General features: G+C 40.0%; 1 protein-coding gene across 31 annotated transcripts in view; it reads left to right on the top strand.

Annotated features, from left to right (window-relative positions):
* MYT1L (myelin transcription factor 1 like) overlaps positions 1-12861 on the top strand; it is a 542163-nt gene that overhangs the window by 41058 nt on the left and 488244 nt on the right. For all 31 annotated transcript variants that reach the window (NM_015025.4, NM_001303052.2, XM_011510326.2 and 28 more), the window contains one exon: positions 5715-5814. The gene's annotated coding sequence lies outside the window, so the exon portion shown is untranslated. The remainder of the gene's footprint in view (positions 1-5714; positions 5815-12861) is intronic.

Genomic DNA, 12861 nt, shown 5'->3' with positions numbered 1-12861 from the left:
ATGGGACTCTCAGATATACAGAGCACAGTTCCAAGACAAGGTTCTAGACCTCAATCTAGAAATTCTAACTTTCTCTACTGCTTCTCTGCCCATGTCCTGCAATTTGTGGCTGTGTGGCTGACATCATGAGCTCATGTGGCAGCGTTGCGATGCTGAGTTGCCAAGGCCAGTGTCAGAACATAAATACCCAGACTCCCACTGGGGATCCCAGCCCTGCTATGGGGAGGTCTTCCCCAGGGAGCACATTTCCTCTCAGCATACTCTCCTCTCCTTCTTCCATCTCCTGGGATCTGCCTCCTGGGAACCTGCCCTTGCTGCCAGTGCTGAAGTGAAGCCCTGTTTATGCCATGACACAGGTGAACTGGAGTTTGGGGATTTATGACTGTGGCTATTAATTGGATCCACATCTAAATCACTTAAAATAATACTAAGAAACTCACCTAACGTCTCAGATATCAAATGCTTTAAAGTATCAGCCATGCTCTCACCCCAGTTAGAGAGGATTTTGGTTCTAGTCCACATAGCCTGTTTTTATTCCATGGGTGGTACCAGTGAGGGGGAGTTAACATTTGTTTGCAGAAGATCAAGCAGTGGTACAAGGGCTCTTCTTATTTCCGTCTTATGGAAGGATGACTGTTCAAGTGAACACAGCGATTTGCAGGTTGTTATGTTTTTTCATTATTGTTACTAGAGGCTGTTGCTTTATGCTTACATATTTGCAGATATTTTTTATGTAAGCCCAGCTTTTCTATAAGATATATGTAAAAATTAGCTCACTATATGAAACTAGACAGGCCTGAAAAAATGATAATCAGCAAATTAAAAATTGTTTTTAATTAAGAGTATGAACCACTATACTACTAGTATGCTTGAAATATGGGGTAAAATCATAAAAGCCTAAAAATTATAAATAGGTAAGCTTGAGTACATTTAAAGAAAGCTTTTTGGCCAACATGCAATAAAACTTCAACGTATCTGGCAGTATGATTAACAGAGGGTATTCCCACCCTAGCCAGACAGGGCCACCTACTGGGATTTTCTCAGGGTTAAGGGACAGGCATCACCCTCTGTTGTCTTCAGTCTTACTCTGCTGTTAGTGGAGGATTCTGTCTGCCCAGACAAGTGTCATCGTGGGCTCCGTTTGGTGATAAGGAATCTTGACCTACCTCTGACATCATGAGCTGCAGAAGCCTGCAGGAAAGCTACTTAACATGCAAGCCTGTGGCTTATATTGAAGGGTAGAACATTTTTAACAGGATAATTATCTTGGAGAAAATAACTTTTATTATTAAGTAACTTTGAGTTAAGAAGCTATCGATTTGAAGAAGAATATAAGCCTGGCATTCCTGAGACTGAATTGAATGGGTTATATTGTTCTCTAGCAAAGAGGTGTTCAAGCTGAACATGTGTATGTGGCTCTAGTCTGATAAAATTCCAAAGTGTAGCTCATTGTAAAATTAACCTGATAACTGATACTCTAGATCAGCACTGTCTAATATAAATATAATGCAAGTGGAAGAATTACATATGTGATATTACATTTTCCAGTAAATGTTAAACATAATTAAAAGAACCAGATGGAATTAATTTTAATAATATAGCTATCTAACCTAAATATGATAATATCAACAAGCAATCAATACATAATGATCAATGAGATATTTTACATTGTTTTCATGCTGTGACCAAATCTTTTGTGTATTTTACCTTTACGGCACATTTCCAGGTAAACTGCACATGAGGCTGGTGCACGCCCTGCTCTTTGAATGGATGTGGAGGACCCAGATAATGAGAAACACTTTGCTCAGCTCTTCTCAATACTTTGCTCTGTCTAGGCATATGATGATCTAATTTTTTTAAAGTTCCTTTTAATTGCATTGAGGTTTGAGTGTGGTATTTAAGAGCGCTTGCTGAGAAATTAGATGATCAGGGTTCAAATCCAACTCTACTATTGACAAACTAAGTGACGTTAGGCCAGTGATGTATCTTCCCAGGGCCTCATTTCTGTGATCTGTAAAACTGATGTTGTCCTGTATCTACCTGGTCGTGAGGATTAAATGACAATTCCTATTCAGTACTTGGCACATAGTCCCTACTTTTAGGTCATTATAAATATATCTTCCCTGTCTCTAGAAATGAACTAGAGTGTGTCAGGAAATGAGACCAGATGATCTATCTAGGGATAAATCTGATGTCTGTCTGAAGAAGCCAAAAAAGGGGGTGAGTAAATATTCTAGAATGATGTGTGTACCCCACCAGAGAGTTCTTAATGTAAGGCCTTGTGTTTAGCTATTACTCTACTTAAATCTCCAGTAGGTTAAATTCCAAATTTCAAACTGAGCTGTAGAGTTGGTCGGGCTTAATAGAGTTTGAGTTTCATTGCTATTACAATTTCCATGGCAAGGCAAGTGCTTCTCTTCTGCCTAAAACGTGGTGATATCCACACAGAAATAACTACAACTTTGTTTAAAAGACTATATGAAATAACTATTAATTAACTAGAATATCCATATGAATTTAAAAGACCAAGCTCTTACTGAGAAATAAAGCTGGATTTCAGAGGTCAAAAGGAGAGTCTTAAAGATGATCTAATCCATTATCCTCATTTTGCAAATGAGAAAGTCACTCTGTGCTCCTGAAATTGCCACTTTCCCATCTTCAGTAAATACAGTATTTATATTTTTTTCAACAATCTATTTTTTAAAAAAGACTGGGACTGACTCATGCTAGCTGATTTTCTGTAAATCACTTACTTTTGAGTATTTGAACAGGTCTTACGTCCAGAATTTTGCACCAGGATGCTGGCGATGCTTAACAAAATGTTTGAAAGATAATGGTCCTGACATTAAATAACTTCGTCTAGTCAATTTTTTTCAACACTTAAAAATTTAATACCTAAAGTCTTGTAAGCTCCTTGAGGATTATCTGAATTTTTAAAAAGGATTCAAATACTTTTTTTTTTCAGACGGAGTTTCGCTCTTGTTGCCCAGGTTGGAGTGCAAAGGCACGACCTCTGCTCACGCAACCTCTGCCTCCCAGGTTCAAGCTATTCTCCTGCCTCAGCCTCCAGAGTAGCTGGTATTACAGGCATGCACCACCACGCCTGGCTAATTTTCTATTTTTAGTAGAGACCGGGTTTCTCCATGTTGGTCAGACTGGTCTCGAACTCCCGACCTCAGGTGATCCGCCTGCCTTGGCCTCAAAGCAATGGCAATTTTAGATGAAATCTGTGTGTGTGTTTGTCTGTGTGTGTGTCTGTGTGTATCTGTGTCTCCCTCTCTCAGGTGATGATAACAGAATGGGAAATAGAACCTAGTGACATCGCTTTGACACTAAGTCTCTTCCACTCCCTGCCTTCGTGATTTCGCGCACCCTTCCCGCCTTCTGCAGGTGGCCTTTCAAGTGCAGGTGGGTGGGGAGGGAAGCCTGCTGTGTCCTGGCATAGTTCTCCAAAGCCAATGCCTGGTGCTTTAGGTAGATGTGTTGCTGGCACCCTTGACCACAGATGATCTCTCCTGCTGTGTCCAAGTGTAGCAAACCATGTGAGGCCACTTAAACCCATTAGACCATTTATTATTGACTCGCAATAGGCAAGTACACTTTAACCCGAGTAGAAACTAAATTTATTATCCTTTTCAGTTGTAAAGTAAAATCCGAAGACCAGACATTCTCATAAAAGTTTACTAATGGGTTCTATGTTTTCTTTTTTTCAATTTGTTAGAAATCATTCGAAACTTGATATCTGCATTACTTCTTTTAAAAGTGTACATATATTTCATTTGATTTTAAATGATCTAAGATGCCCTCCACATTTTAGTAATGAATGACATTGTCCTGGAAGAGTCATCAATTCTATCTGCAAAAGAGAAAGTTTCTGTGTGTGAGCCAAAGCATGTCACAAATGCTCAATGCTTCCTTTTAGAAGAATGAAGAACAGGCCGGGTGTGGTAATCCCATGCCTGTAATCCCAGCACATTGGGAGGCTGAGGTCGGTGGATCACGAGGTCAGGAGTTCAAGACCAGCCTGACCAACATGGTGAAACCCCGTCTCTACTAAAAATACAAAAATTAGCCGGGGGTGGTGGCACACGCCAGTATTCCTAGCTACTCACAAGGCTGAGGCAGGAGTATCACTTGAACCTGGAAGGCAGAGGTTGCAGTGAGCTGAGATCACGCCACTGCACTCCAGCCTGGGTGACAGAGTGACAGTCCATCTCACAAAAAAAAAGGAAGAAGAAGAAGAAGAGTGAAGAACAAAGAATTGGAGGATTGTTTGGAGGGTCTGAGAAACTGGAGGCTAGCCTGCAGCAGCAGAAAGCACCCTCGAGTTGGGAAGAGCTGGTTTTGAACCCCTGCTAGGCATGCTCTAGCTCTGTCTCCAGGGGTTAGGCAGCATCTTGAGCCAATGTACAGGGAAATAATGATGCCGACTTTGAGGATTAAGAGAGATACTGAACCTGCAGTGTCTGACCTAACGTGTAGCTTCTCAGCTGGATACTCGGAAATGGGAGCAGTTGACATGTGTGCTGCTCTTACCATGAAGATCCCTGCTCCTCTGTCACCAGGAACATGTCACAAAATAGAAAGTGTGGCTTCTAGGCAGAATTGGGAAGACCCAGAAAGGGGAGGGCATTCCAGGTAGAGGTAAAGAGATATGCAAAGTTGAAAGCATAGAAGAATTTCATGTTTCATTTTTCCTCCCACAGAACTGCTAAAATTGGAACGAATATGGTTAGTGGGTAGAAAAAGTTGAATTAATTTTCCAAAGGAATTATTGTCCTTTTCTTCCACCACCCTAGTTTTCCAAGTGAACCTAGGAAATAGGAAATATGGGAAACTTCCTGGTCTGTGCATGTTTCTTTACTTCTGTTTTTTAAACACCTCTTATTTTTCATTGTGGCATTTGTCCTGATATGGCCTTAGATAGGCAAGCTGCGTTTGAGGTCCCTATTGAACCTGCATACATTGCCATAATGCAATTCACGATGCACTCCCCAAGTCCAGAACCTTCTCTTGCAACTGCAATCACTGCCTGACAAGCAGCCTTTTGGGCATGGAGCTCACCTCCAGCTCATCTCCCCGGGTTAGAAGACTTTGTAGGGAGGACGGAGACCTAGGGACTCTCTCAAGTTTCACACAACTGACCTTGTTCTTTCATTTTTATTAAAGCACAGACTTTTATTTTAAAAGAAGTACAACTTTGGCCAGGCGCAGTGGCTCACACCTGTAATCCCAGCACTTTGGGAGGCTAAGGTGGGCGGATCCCGAGGTCAGGAGATCAAGACCACCCTGACCCCTGGCCAACATAGCACATGATGAAACCCCATCTCTACTAAAATATAAAAAATCAGCTGGGCATGGTGGTGCATGCCTGTAGTGCCAGCTACTTGGGAGGCTGAGGCAGGAGAATCGCTTGAACCCAGGAGACAGGCTCCAGTGAGCCAAGATCCCGCCACTGCACTCCAGCCTGGTGACAGAGCAAGACTCTGTCTCAAAAAAAACAAAAAATTACAATTTTGAGGAGACACAGTAGGAGTGTCTAACTCCAAGACCCCTCCTTAGATAAATTTCAGCAAGTGTGGCTGTGTGTGCGTAGGGCCTTCAATACTTTAATGAGAATAGCTCAAGATGCAGGGAAACTATCCATTCCCATTAACTCAAGAGAAAAGAGTCCCAGTTCCATTAACCATTTCTTCCTCTTCTCTTACATGCAGGGCGGGTCATGAGGAGGCTGTAGCCAAGGACGAGGTGTGTGCGGCTGTTGCCTGGACGTTTGTCCAATCCACGTTGACATTTGAGGGATCACAGCGTGTGGTATGTGAATTGCAATGGGACCTTACCGTTGTATTAGGAATGTAAAGGAGGTACCTGAAAACAAGCAGAACTCACAAGGCAATGACTGATTTAGAATTCGGGCAACTGGGTTCTTTTGTACCAGTTATTTCTTGCTGTTTTTAATGCTTACGTGCTTCAGTTGTATGCCTTGTCTAGTCAATTACATATACATGTTAAATTCATACATCAACTATGACTTTTTCTTATATCTTTATACTGATGAAAGCATCACCTATAATCTAAATATTTCATAAATGAACTGAACCAAGCAGAGAACTTGATCCAAAAACATATAGTTATGTTTAATTTCCTAATTCTTCTTGTTATACTTACGTGGTGTTTTCTGAATTTCAAACTCCTCCCACTCCTACTCCTTCACTTTAGCCTGAGTGCCTGCTTTGGGTGAGGCCACATTGCAGACATGGCTGGCTCTCTTGAAGCCCTTGAGTACCCTGTAAGAAAGTTGCCACCATCCCTTTTAGACATGAGGAAACTGAGGCAGAGGGAGGTCGGACAGGTAGCCAGAGGTGCACGGACTTCAGAGCTTACTTCCAATCAGAGCCCCATTTTGAGGCTGTAGTTTCCTTTTTCCATAGACGCACATCCTTGGGAATCATTTGTATCCCTTTTGAAATCTGTCTTGGACATAACTGTGTAAATTTTCAGCTGCATGAAAGAGTAGCATTGCCTGACCACGTGTAGGTTTGAGGTCTGAGCAGCCCTTACTGCCTGGGGACTTTGAAGCAGACTCTCAGCTTCTGTGGCCTTCACTTTCTCTTCCAATTATGAGTGGGTGGAATTGAGAAGTGCTACAAATTTAATTTCCAGCAAGACTGAGAAATAAACCAATCTGTTGGACCCAATGTCCTCTATTTGCTACACAACTAATTTTTAATGGTTCAAAAATTATACTTTTCAAGGCATCATCTCTGTACTCTCTTACTTTTGGTGTCAATATCTTTAGAAACTTATCCTCTCAATGTCGTTCTTTGCATTAACGTCAAACTGCCAGAGAGACCAAGTTTTTAAACTTCTATTTTCTTTACATAATTAGTGTATGTCCATTGTAGAAACATTAGAATATTAAAATAATAGATAATATAATTTTTAAAGCACTGGAAATTCAAAAATTCAGTGACAACCACCATTAGTATGTTGGTTTAAAATTCTTCAAGACTGATTTCTTTGACAGTCTTCAAAAAGATTTTAAATTAACATGGGTCAAACTGTGCCGTTTGTTCTTTACTCCTTTTTCCCTTATGCATCGTATGTATCTTTCTGTATGAAGAACTACTTTTTGTGTTGGGGGGGATGGAGTCTGGCTCTGTCACCCAGGCTGGAGTGCAGTGGCACAATCTTGGCTCACCGTAACCTCTCCCTCCGGGGTTCAAGGTATTCTCCTGCCTCAGCCTCCCAAGTGGCTAGGGTTACTGGCACATGCCACCACACCTGGCTAATTTTTCTATTTTTAGTAAAGACGGGGTTTCACCATGTTGGCCAGGCTGGTCTCCAACTCCTGACCTCAAGTGGTCTGCCCACCTCGGTTTCCCAAAGTGCTGGGATTACAGGTGTGAACCACTGTGCCCAGCCTGAAGAACTACTTTTCTGTTACCTTATTTTATTCCGTTACCTCATCTAGCATTCTACTTTATGAATACACTGAAATATACTTCATCAATTCTCTATTGTAATTTCATAAGTTGGATTTTTAAAATTTTGCCTTATAAACATGGTTTTAATAACCATTCTTTACCTAAAACCTTTCACACTGTTAATGATTTTCTTAAGATAAATTCACAGTAGAATTGCTTGACTCAAGACTATATACATTTTGAAGCTTTTGAGAAGGGCATTATCTTTACAATCCTGCTTCATTTTATGTGTGGTCCTATCACTGCATGTTCTCTGCTATTGAAAACACAGCTAACCATCCAGTGTTTGAACGGTCTGCCATTACACATAGCAGTGTCATAAATTCATAAATTCAACCTTAAGAAAAAACTAATCTCATAGCACAAATTTAGTTTTGTAAAGGCTAAAAATGTATTTCAAAATATCTTCTAAATTTTCATAAACTCAGTTAAAAAGCTGACACTTCTGTTCTTTTGTTCATATATTAAATCAATGTATGAAGTGCCTACTACGTGCAATACACTGTGTGAGGCAGTGGTGATATGTAAATGATAGAACATGATCCAGATTTTGAGAAGTCCACCTTTTAGTTGCAGAATCCACGCTTATATTGAGTCTCTGATACATGGTATGAAAAGCATTACAATACATTTACTTTAAAAATAAGATCTCAGTATGAGCAATTTAATATAGCGACCATTATTGTTTCTGATGTGTAACTCTGAGAATTTCGAGATCCACTACCATTAAAGAAAGCTAGGATTGTGTTCGTTATACTAAACGCCAGAGTGCACTACAGAAACATTTCTGCCCCCATGCCACCTACCGCTAAAAAGTAGCCTTTTTATTGCTTCTTGAATATTTCCAGGAACAGATAGCTTACAACTCAACAAGGCAACTCATTCCATTGTTGGATTGTGTCAAGGGTTTGCATATTATTCAGTTTTATAATAGGCACCTGTTGTTTTTACTTTCAGCCTCTGGAGAGATACAGACTATGTCTAATTCAATTCAACTTAATGGATGTATTTTAATGATCTACTATGTTCAGAACATGTTCTAGGTTCTATGGGCTAATTTCTATTTCATATGACAGTATTTTCAATATTTGATTATTGTTTTTCTAAATACACAAGTTAAGTTCACGCCATTCAAGGTAATTGGATCATTAATATAAGTCTGCTAAATCTCTATAAAGCAACACATTTTGGCCTCAGTTGTTGACCACTTACATGAGCTAGTTGGGAAGAATTTTACAATCAATCAGGAAGACACAAGCATTTACTCTTCCCACTTCTGTACATATTACACAACAATTATATTAAAAAGAAAACAAAAGTCATTTGCCCCACACTATTACTAGTTATGACATGAAAAGTCATGCCACGTGTACTAGTTCATTCTCACACTGCCATGAAGAAATACCCGATGATTTATAAAGAAAAGAGGTTTAATTGACTCACAGTTCTGCATGGCTTGGGAGGTCTCAGGAAACTTGCAATCACGGCAGAAGGCAAAGCTGAAGAAAGGCATCTTCTTCACAGGAAGGAGAAGTGCTGAGCAAAGCAGGGAAAGCCCCTGATAAAGCCATCTGATCTCATGAGAATTTACTTACTAACATGAGAACGGTGTGGGGTAACCACCCCCATGATTCAATTACCTCCCACCAGGTCCATCCCACAACATGTGGGGATTATGGGAACTACAATTCAAGATGAGATTTGGGTGGGGACACAGCCAAACCATATCACCACGGTTGTGTACATTTGGTATAAAACAAACCCTCATCAAAAGCTGGAAAACCTAGTGTGTCCCCTATGGCCGCACCGAGGCAAGCCACCAGCCTTCTCTAAGCCTCAGTCACTTCATCAGTTAAATGAAGGAATTAGAAATCTTTGAGGAGACTTAAACCACAATATTTTAGGATGAAATTTTGTGCTTGGTGTTCTGGGTTTTAAATCACAGAGCTCTGGATGCCTCTCAGGTTATGGTTTGTTTGGTTGAAGCTTCCTCTCCACCTCCTGATGGGGTCTGACCCTGCTGCAATGCTGCACGCGCGTGGCCACCCTGCACAGACTGCTGCACTGCAGCCGTGTCCTACGAAGTTGATGTGTGTTACCTGACTTCCTCCTTAAAATAACACTAGGGAAGGAAACATTATCATCCCCATTCTCAGCAGGAGAGACCTGAGGCAGAGCGTTATGTAATGTGCACAAGGGCGGATAGAAGAAGTTTAGTTCGGTTTAAAAGGCACCCCATAGTCTCAGCTCCTGATTTCTGTCTTATATGGAATGGGCAGGTGAACACCTTTACTCTTCCAAATTTTTCACTCCAAATAGTTTCTTGGAGTTGGTTCACTTGGTTGTCCTGGAGATAATGCCTATTACCAAGGCAACTTTGATATGCAAGAAACTAAAGCAATGGCAACAAATCAACAATACGTAAAGCTGTGAACCATACAACCAGGGTATGTATGCAATGCCTAACTAGTGTTTTGTGGTGAATTCATTAAAATGACCTAATTTGACATCATATAAGCAGGAATAGTATATGCTTGAAATCCTCCTTATGGGAAGAAAAACTTCTCAGAAAATCTAACACTTTCTACTTTAGTCCACAAATGAATTTTCTTGCTCATACAAATTTTCTTAATTTTTACTTTAATGTTTTCTGATGACACTTATAGTTTATTTCTTTATTTCCTCCTTTTCTGATACATGTTTTTACTACTTCTTATATCCATCTATTTGAAATTCCACATAATTTTTCTACATCAAAGCTTTTGTTTCATTTACCTCTTACCCCATCCTTGACTTTATGCCATGTACTTGTCCTGCTTCTTAAATAGATAAATCACGTAAGTGCTGTCTGCTAACAACAGCTTCCTACCTTTCCTAGTTTACATTCTTTGATTAGAAGAAGCTAGTGAAAGAAAATCCCAGTGTGCAGTGTTGCCCGCTTGAGGGTATACATTAAAAACCCTTATGAACATAGAATGGCAAAATGGAAATACCTTGAAGGCTGTCGCTCAACCCGAAACTACCTGGCCAACAAACTTGAAGGTAAAAAGCTGAACTGATAGGGAAAAGCAACCTGGGCATGGAACAGGTGTTGGTTGACATTTGAGGGATAATCTTGATTCCTTCCTTCCTTCCTTCCTTCCTTCCTTCCTTCCTTCCTTCATTCATTCATTCCTTCTCTCTTTCTCTCTCTCCTTCCTCCTTCCCTCCCTCTTTCTCTCTTCTTACTCCATTGTTTTCTTCCTTCCTCCTGGACTCCACCTCTCTTTTTCCCTCCCCTCCCCTTCCCTTCCCTCCTCCACCTTTCCCTCTTCCTCCTTCTCCTCTTCTTCTTCTCCTTCTTCCTCTTCCATGTTGAATGGCTTAATCATTATAATACTTCTTTGATATGTAAGAAGGCATTATTGTCCTCCATACTTTGAACTATCATCACAATCAGGCATAGCCTTGAAATATAGGAAAAGTAGATACTATTAGCCTCTATACAATCTTAAACCATAAAACCAAGGGAGTTTTGTCCTCTGTACCCAGAACTTCATAGTGGCCTTACAGCATCACAACTGTTAAGACACTAAGAAATGGTAAATATCTGAAAACAAAGATCCATTGAGGAGAGCTCTCCTTTTATTTTAAGAATCCTCTTAAGTAGTTTGGGGTGAAAGATAATAGCAGAGATGGTCCAGGGCCTCCCAGGTGCTTCCTGCATCTCAGAGACACAGGCTCGTGGGGAGGGGAGTGCAGAGCCCTAGTGAAGGTGCCTCCCAGAGCTGGGCAAGGGAAAGCGTGGTTAAGAAGTTAGAACAAGAGAAAGAGAGGGGCCTTTTGTTCTTGGTAAGTTCCTGTGTTGTGTTCATCTTTCCTTTAGGTGATGTGGCCTTGGGCTCAAGGGGACACTTTATCCCTTCATAGTTCACCACTGTCCTACTGTTTCCCATAAGAAGAAATACATGGTGTTAAAATATAGCCAGGAAAAATATAACTTTATACATTAAATTTACCCCTGAAGTTTAAAGCATCAACTATTTAAAACATCTACATGATATTACATAATTACTGTTGATTTCTTAAGTATGTTAATAGTGTCCTGCCTGTGTTTAAAAATAAAGTTCTAATATGTTAGATATGCACACTGAAACTTTTGTAGGCAAAATTATATGATTTCTGGAATGTTCTTCAAAATAATATAGAAATGGTTATCAAATGGAGGTCTAGATAAGCGACAGTGGCCAAATCACATTTTTGTAACTGATGGGTATATGGACTTATTATACTGTTCTCTTTAAAATTTTGTGTCTCTTTATAATTCTCCATACTTAAAAGTTACAATAAATGCAAAGTTGCATAACAGTGACAGAGGAGGGATCCCTAAACCAGACTGGCAGGAAATAAATCCAGCTTTCTATGTTTGAAAGTCTGAGGGTAAATTTTCCTCTCTGCCTCTCAGTTTCATTTTCTGCAAAATGAGGATAATAGTAGCCTGGACCTCTTGGAATCATTGTGGAGATCACATGAGTTGCTGTGTGTCACACGTTACATATACACAACACATGTAGGCCACCCATTAGTGCCTCGTACACAGCACAAATATGGCCACTACCATTAACTCATAAAAGTAAAAGCTTTTATTTTTACTTTCCGCTTTAAATTTCTTAGATTAACAGTTGTTATATAGGAAAAGAAGTCTAATTTTGTATATGAAAAGTGTTTCTGAATTAATAATTACCTTTTCTATTTTGCAACCAAAAGCAGAAATAACTTAATACTGACTTTTCTGTCACTCGTAACATTGGATGGATTTCTAAAGATATTCAAAGAAATTATTGTTTCAAATTTTGCTAGGAATATACTATAGTTTTTTTTCTTCAAATTAAGGTATGTTAATTGATTAGGTAGCTTAGCCATAACACTGGCTGTATCGTGGGTATTTTTTCTTTCTTTTTTATTCTGTTGCAAAGGGTATACAACCCCATTTTTTTCTATAATTACAATTGTTATATGACCATTTGTAGTTTACCTTTACATAACACCTGAAGGGCAGTAACTTTATAGCTGCTTAATCCTGTAATTATTTCTTTTCCACACTATTTCAATTCTAACTCATCCCTATTACAGGAAAAGAACCAGTCCCAGGACTCTGGACAACTTTATTTTCTAAAGAATCCATTTTCACTGATAAACACAGTGAAGGCTGTGGCAACATGAGCATGTATGTAACTGTGGGTTTTGACTGTTCCCTCTGTTCTGGCCATGATGCACCTGTGTGCAGTCTGTTCCCTTTCCTCCCGTATGGGACAATCTGTCCACCCGTGGGACCCTGTCATCCATTACTTGATGGGAGGTAACAGAAGTGGTTTTCCACAAGGTCACCCTTGAG

Source organism: Homo sapiens, chromosome 2 (genome assembly GCF_000001405.40).
Source record: "Homo sapiens chromosome 2, GRCh38.p14 Primary Assembly".
Classification (NCBI taxonomy): Eukaryota; Metazoa; Chordata; class Mammalia; order Primates; family Hominidae; genus Homo; species Homo sapiens.
Note: the sequence above shows the minus strand (reverse complement) of the source record. Positions and strands in the feature narration are given on the sequence as shown.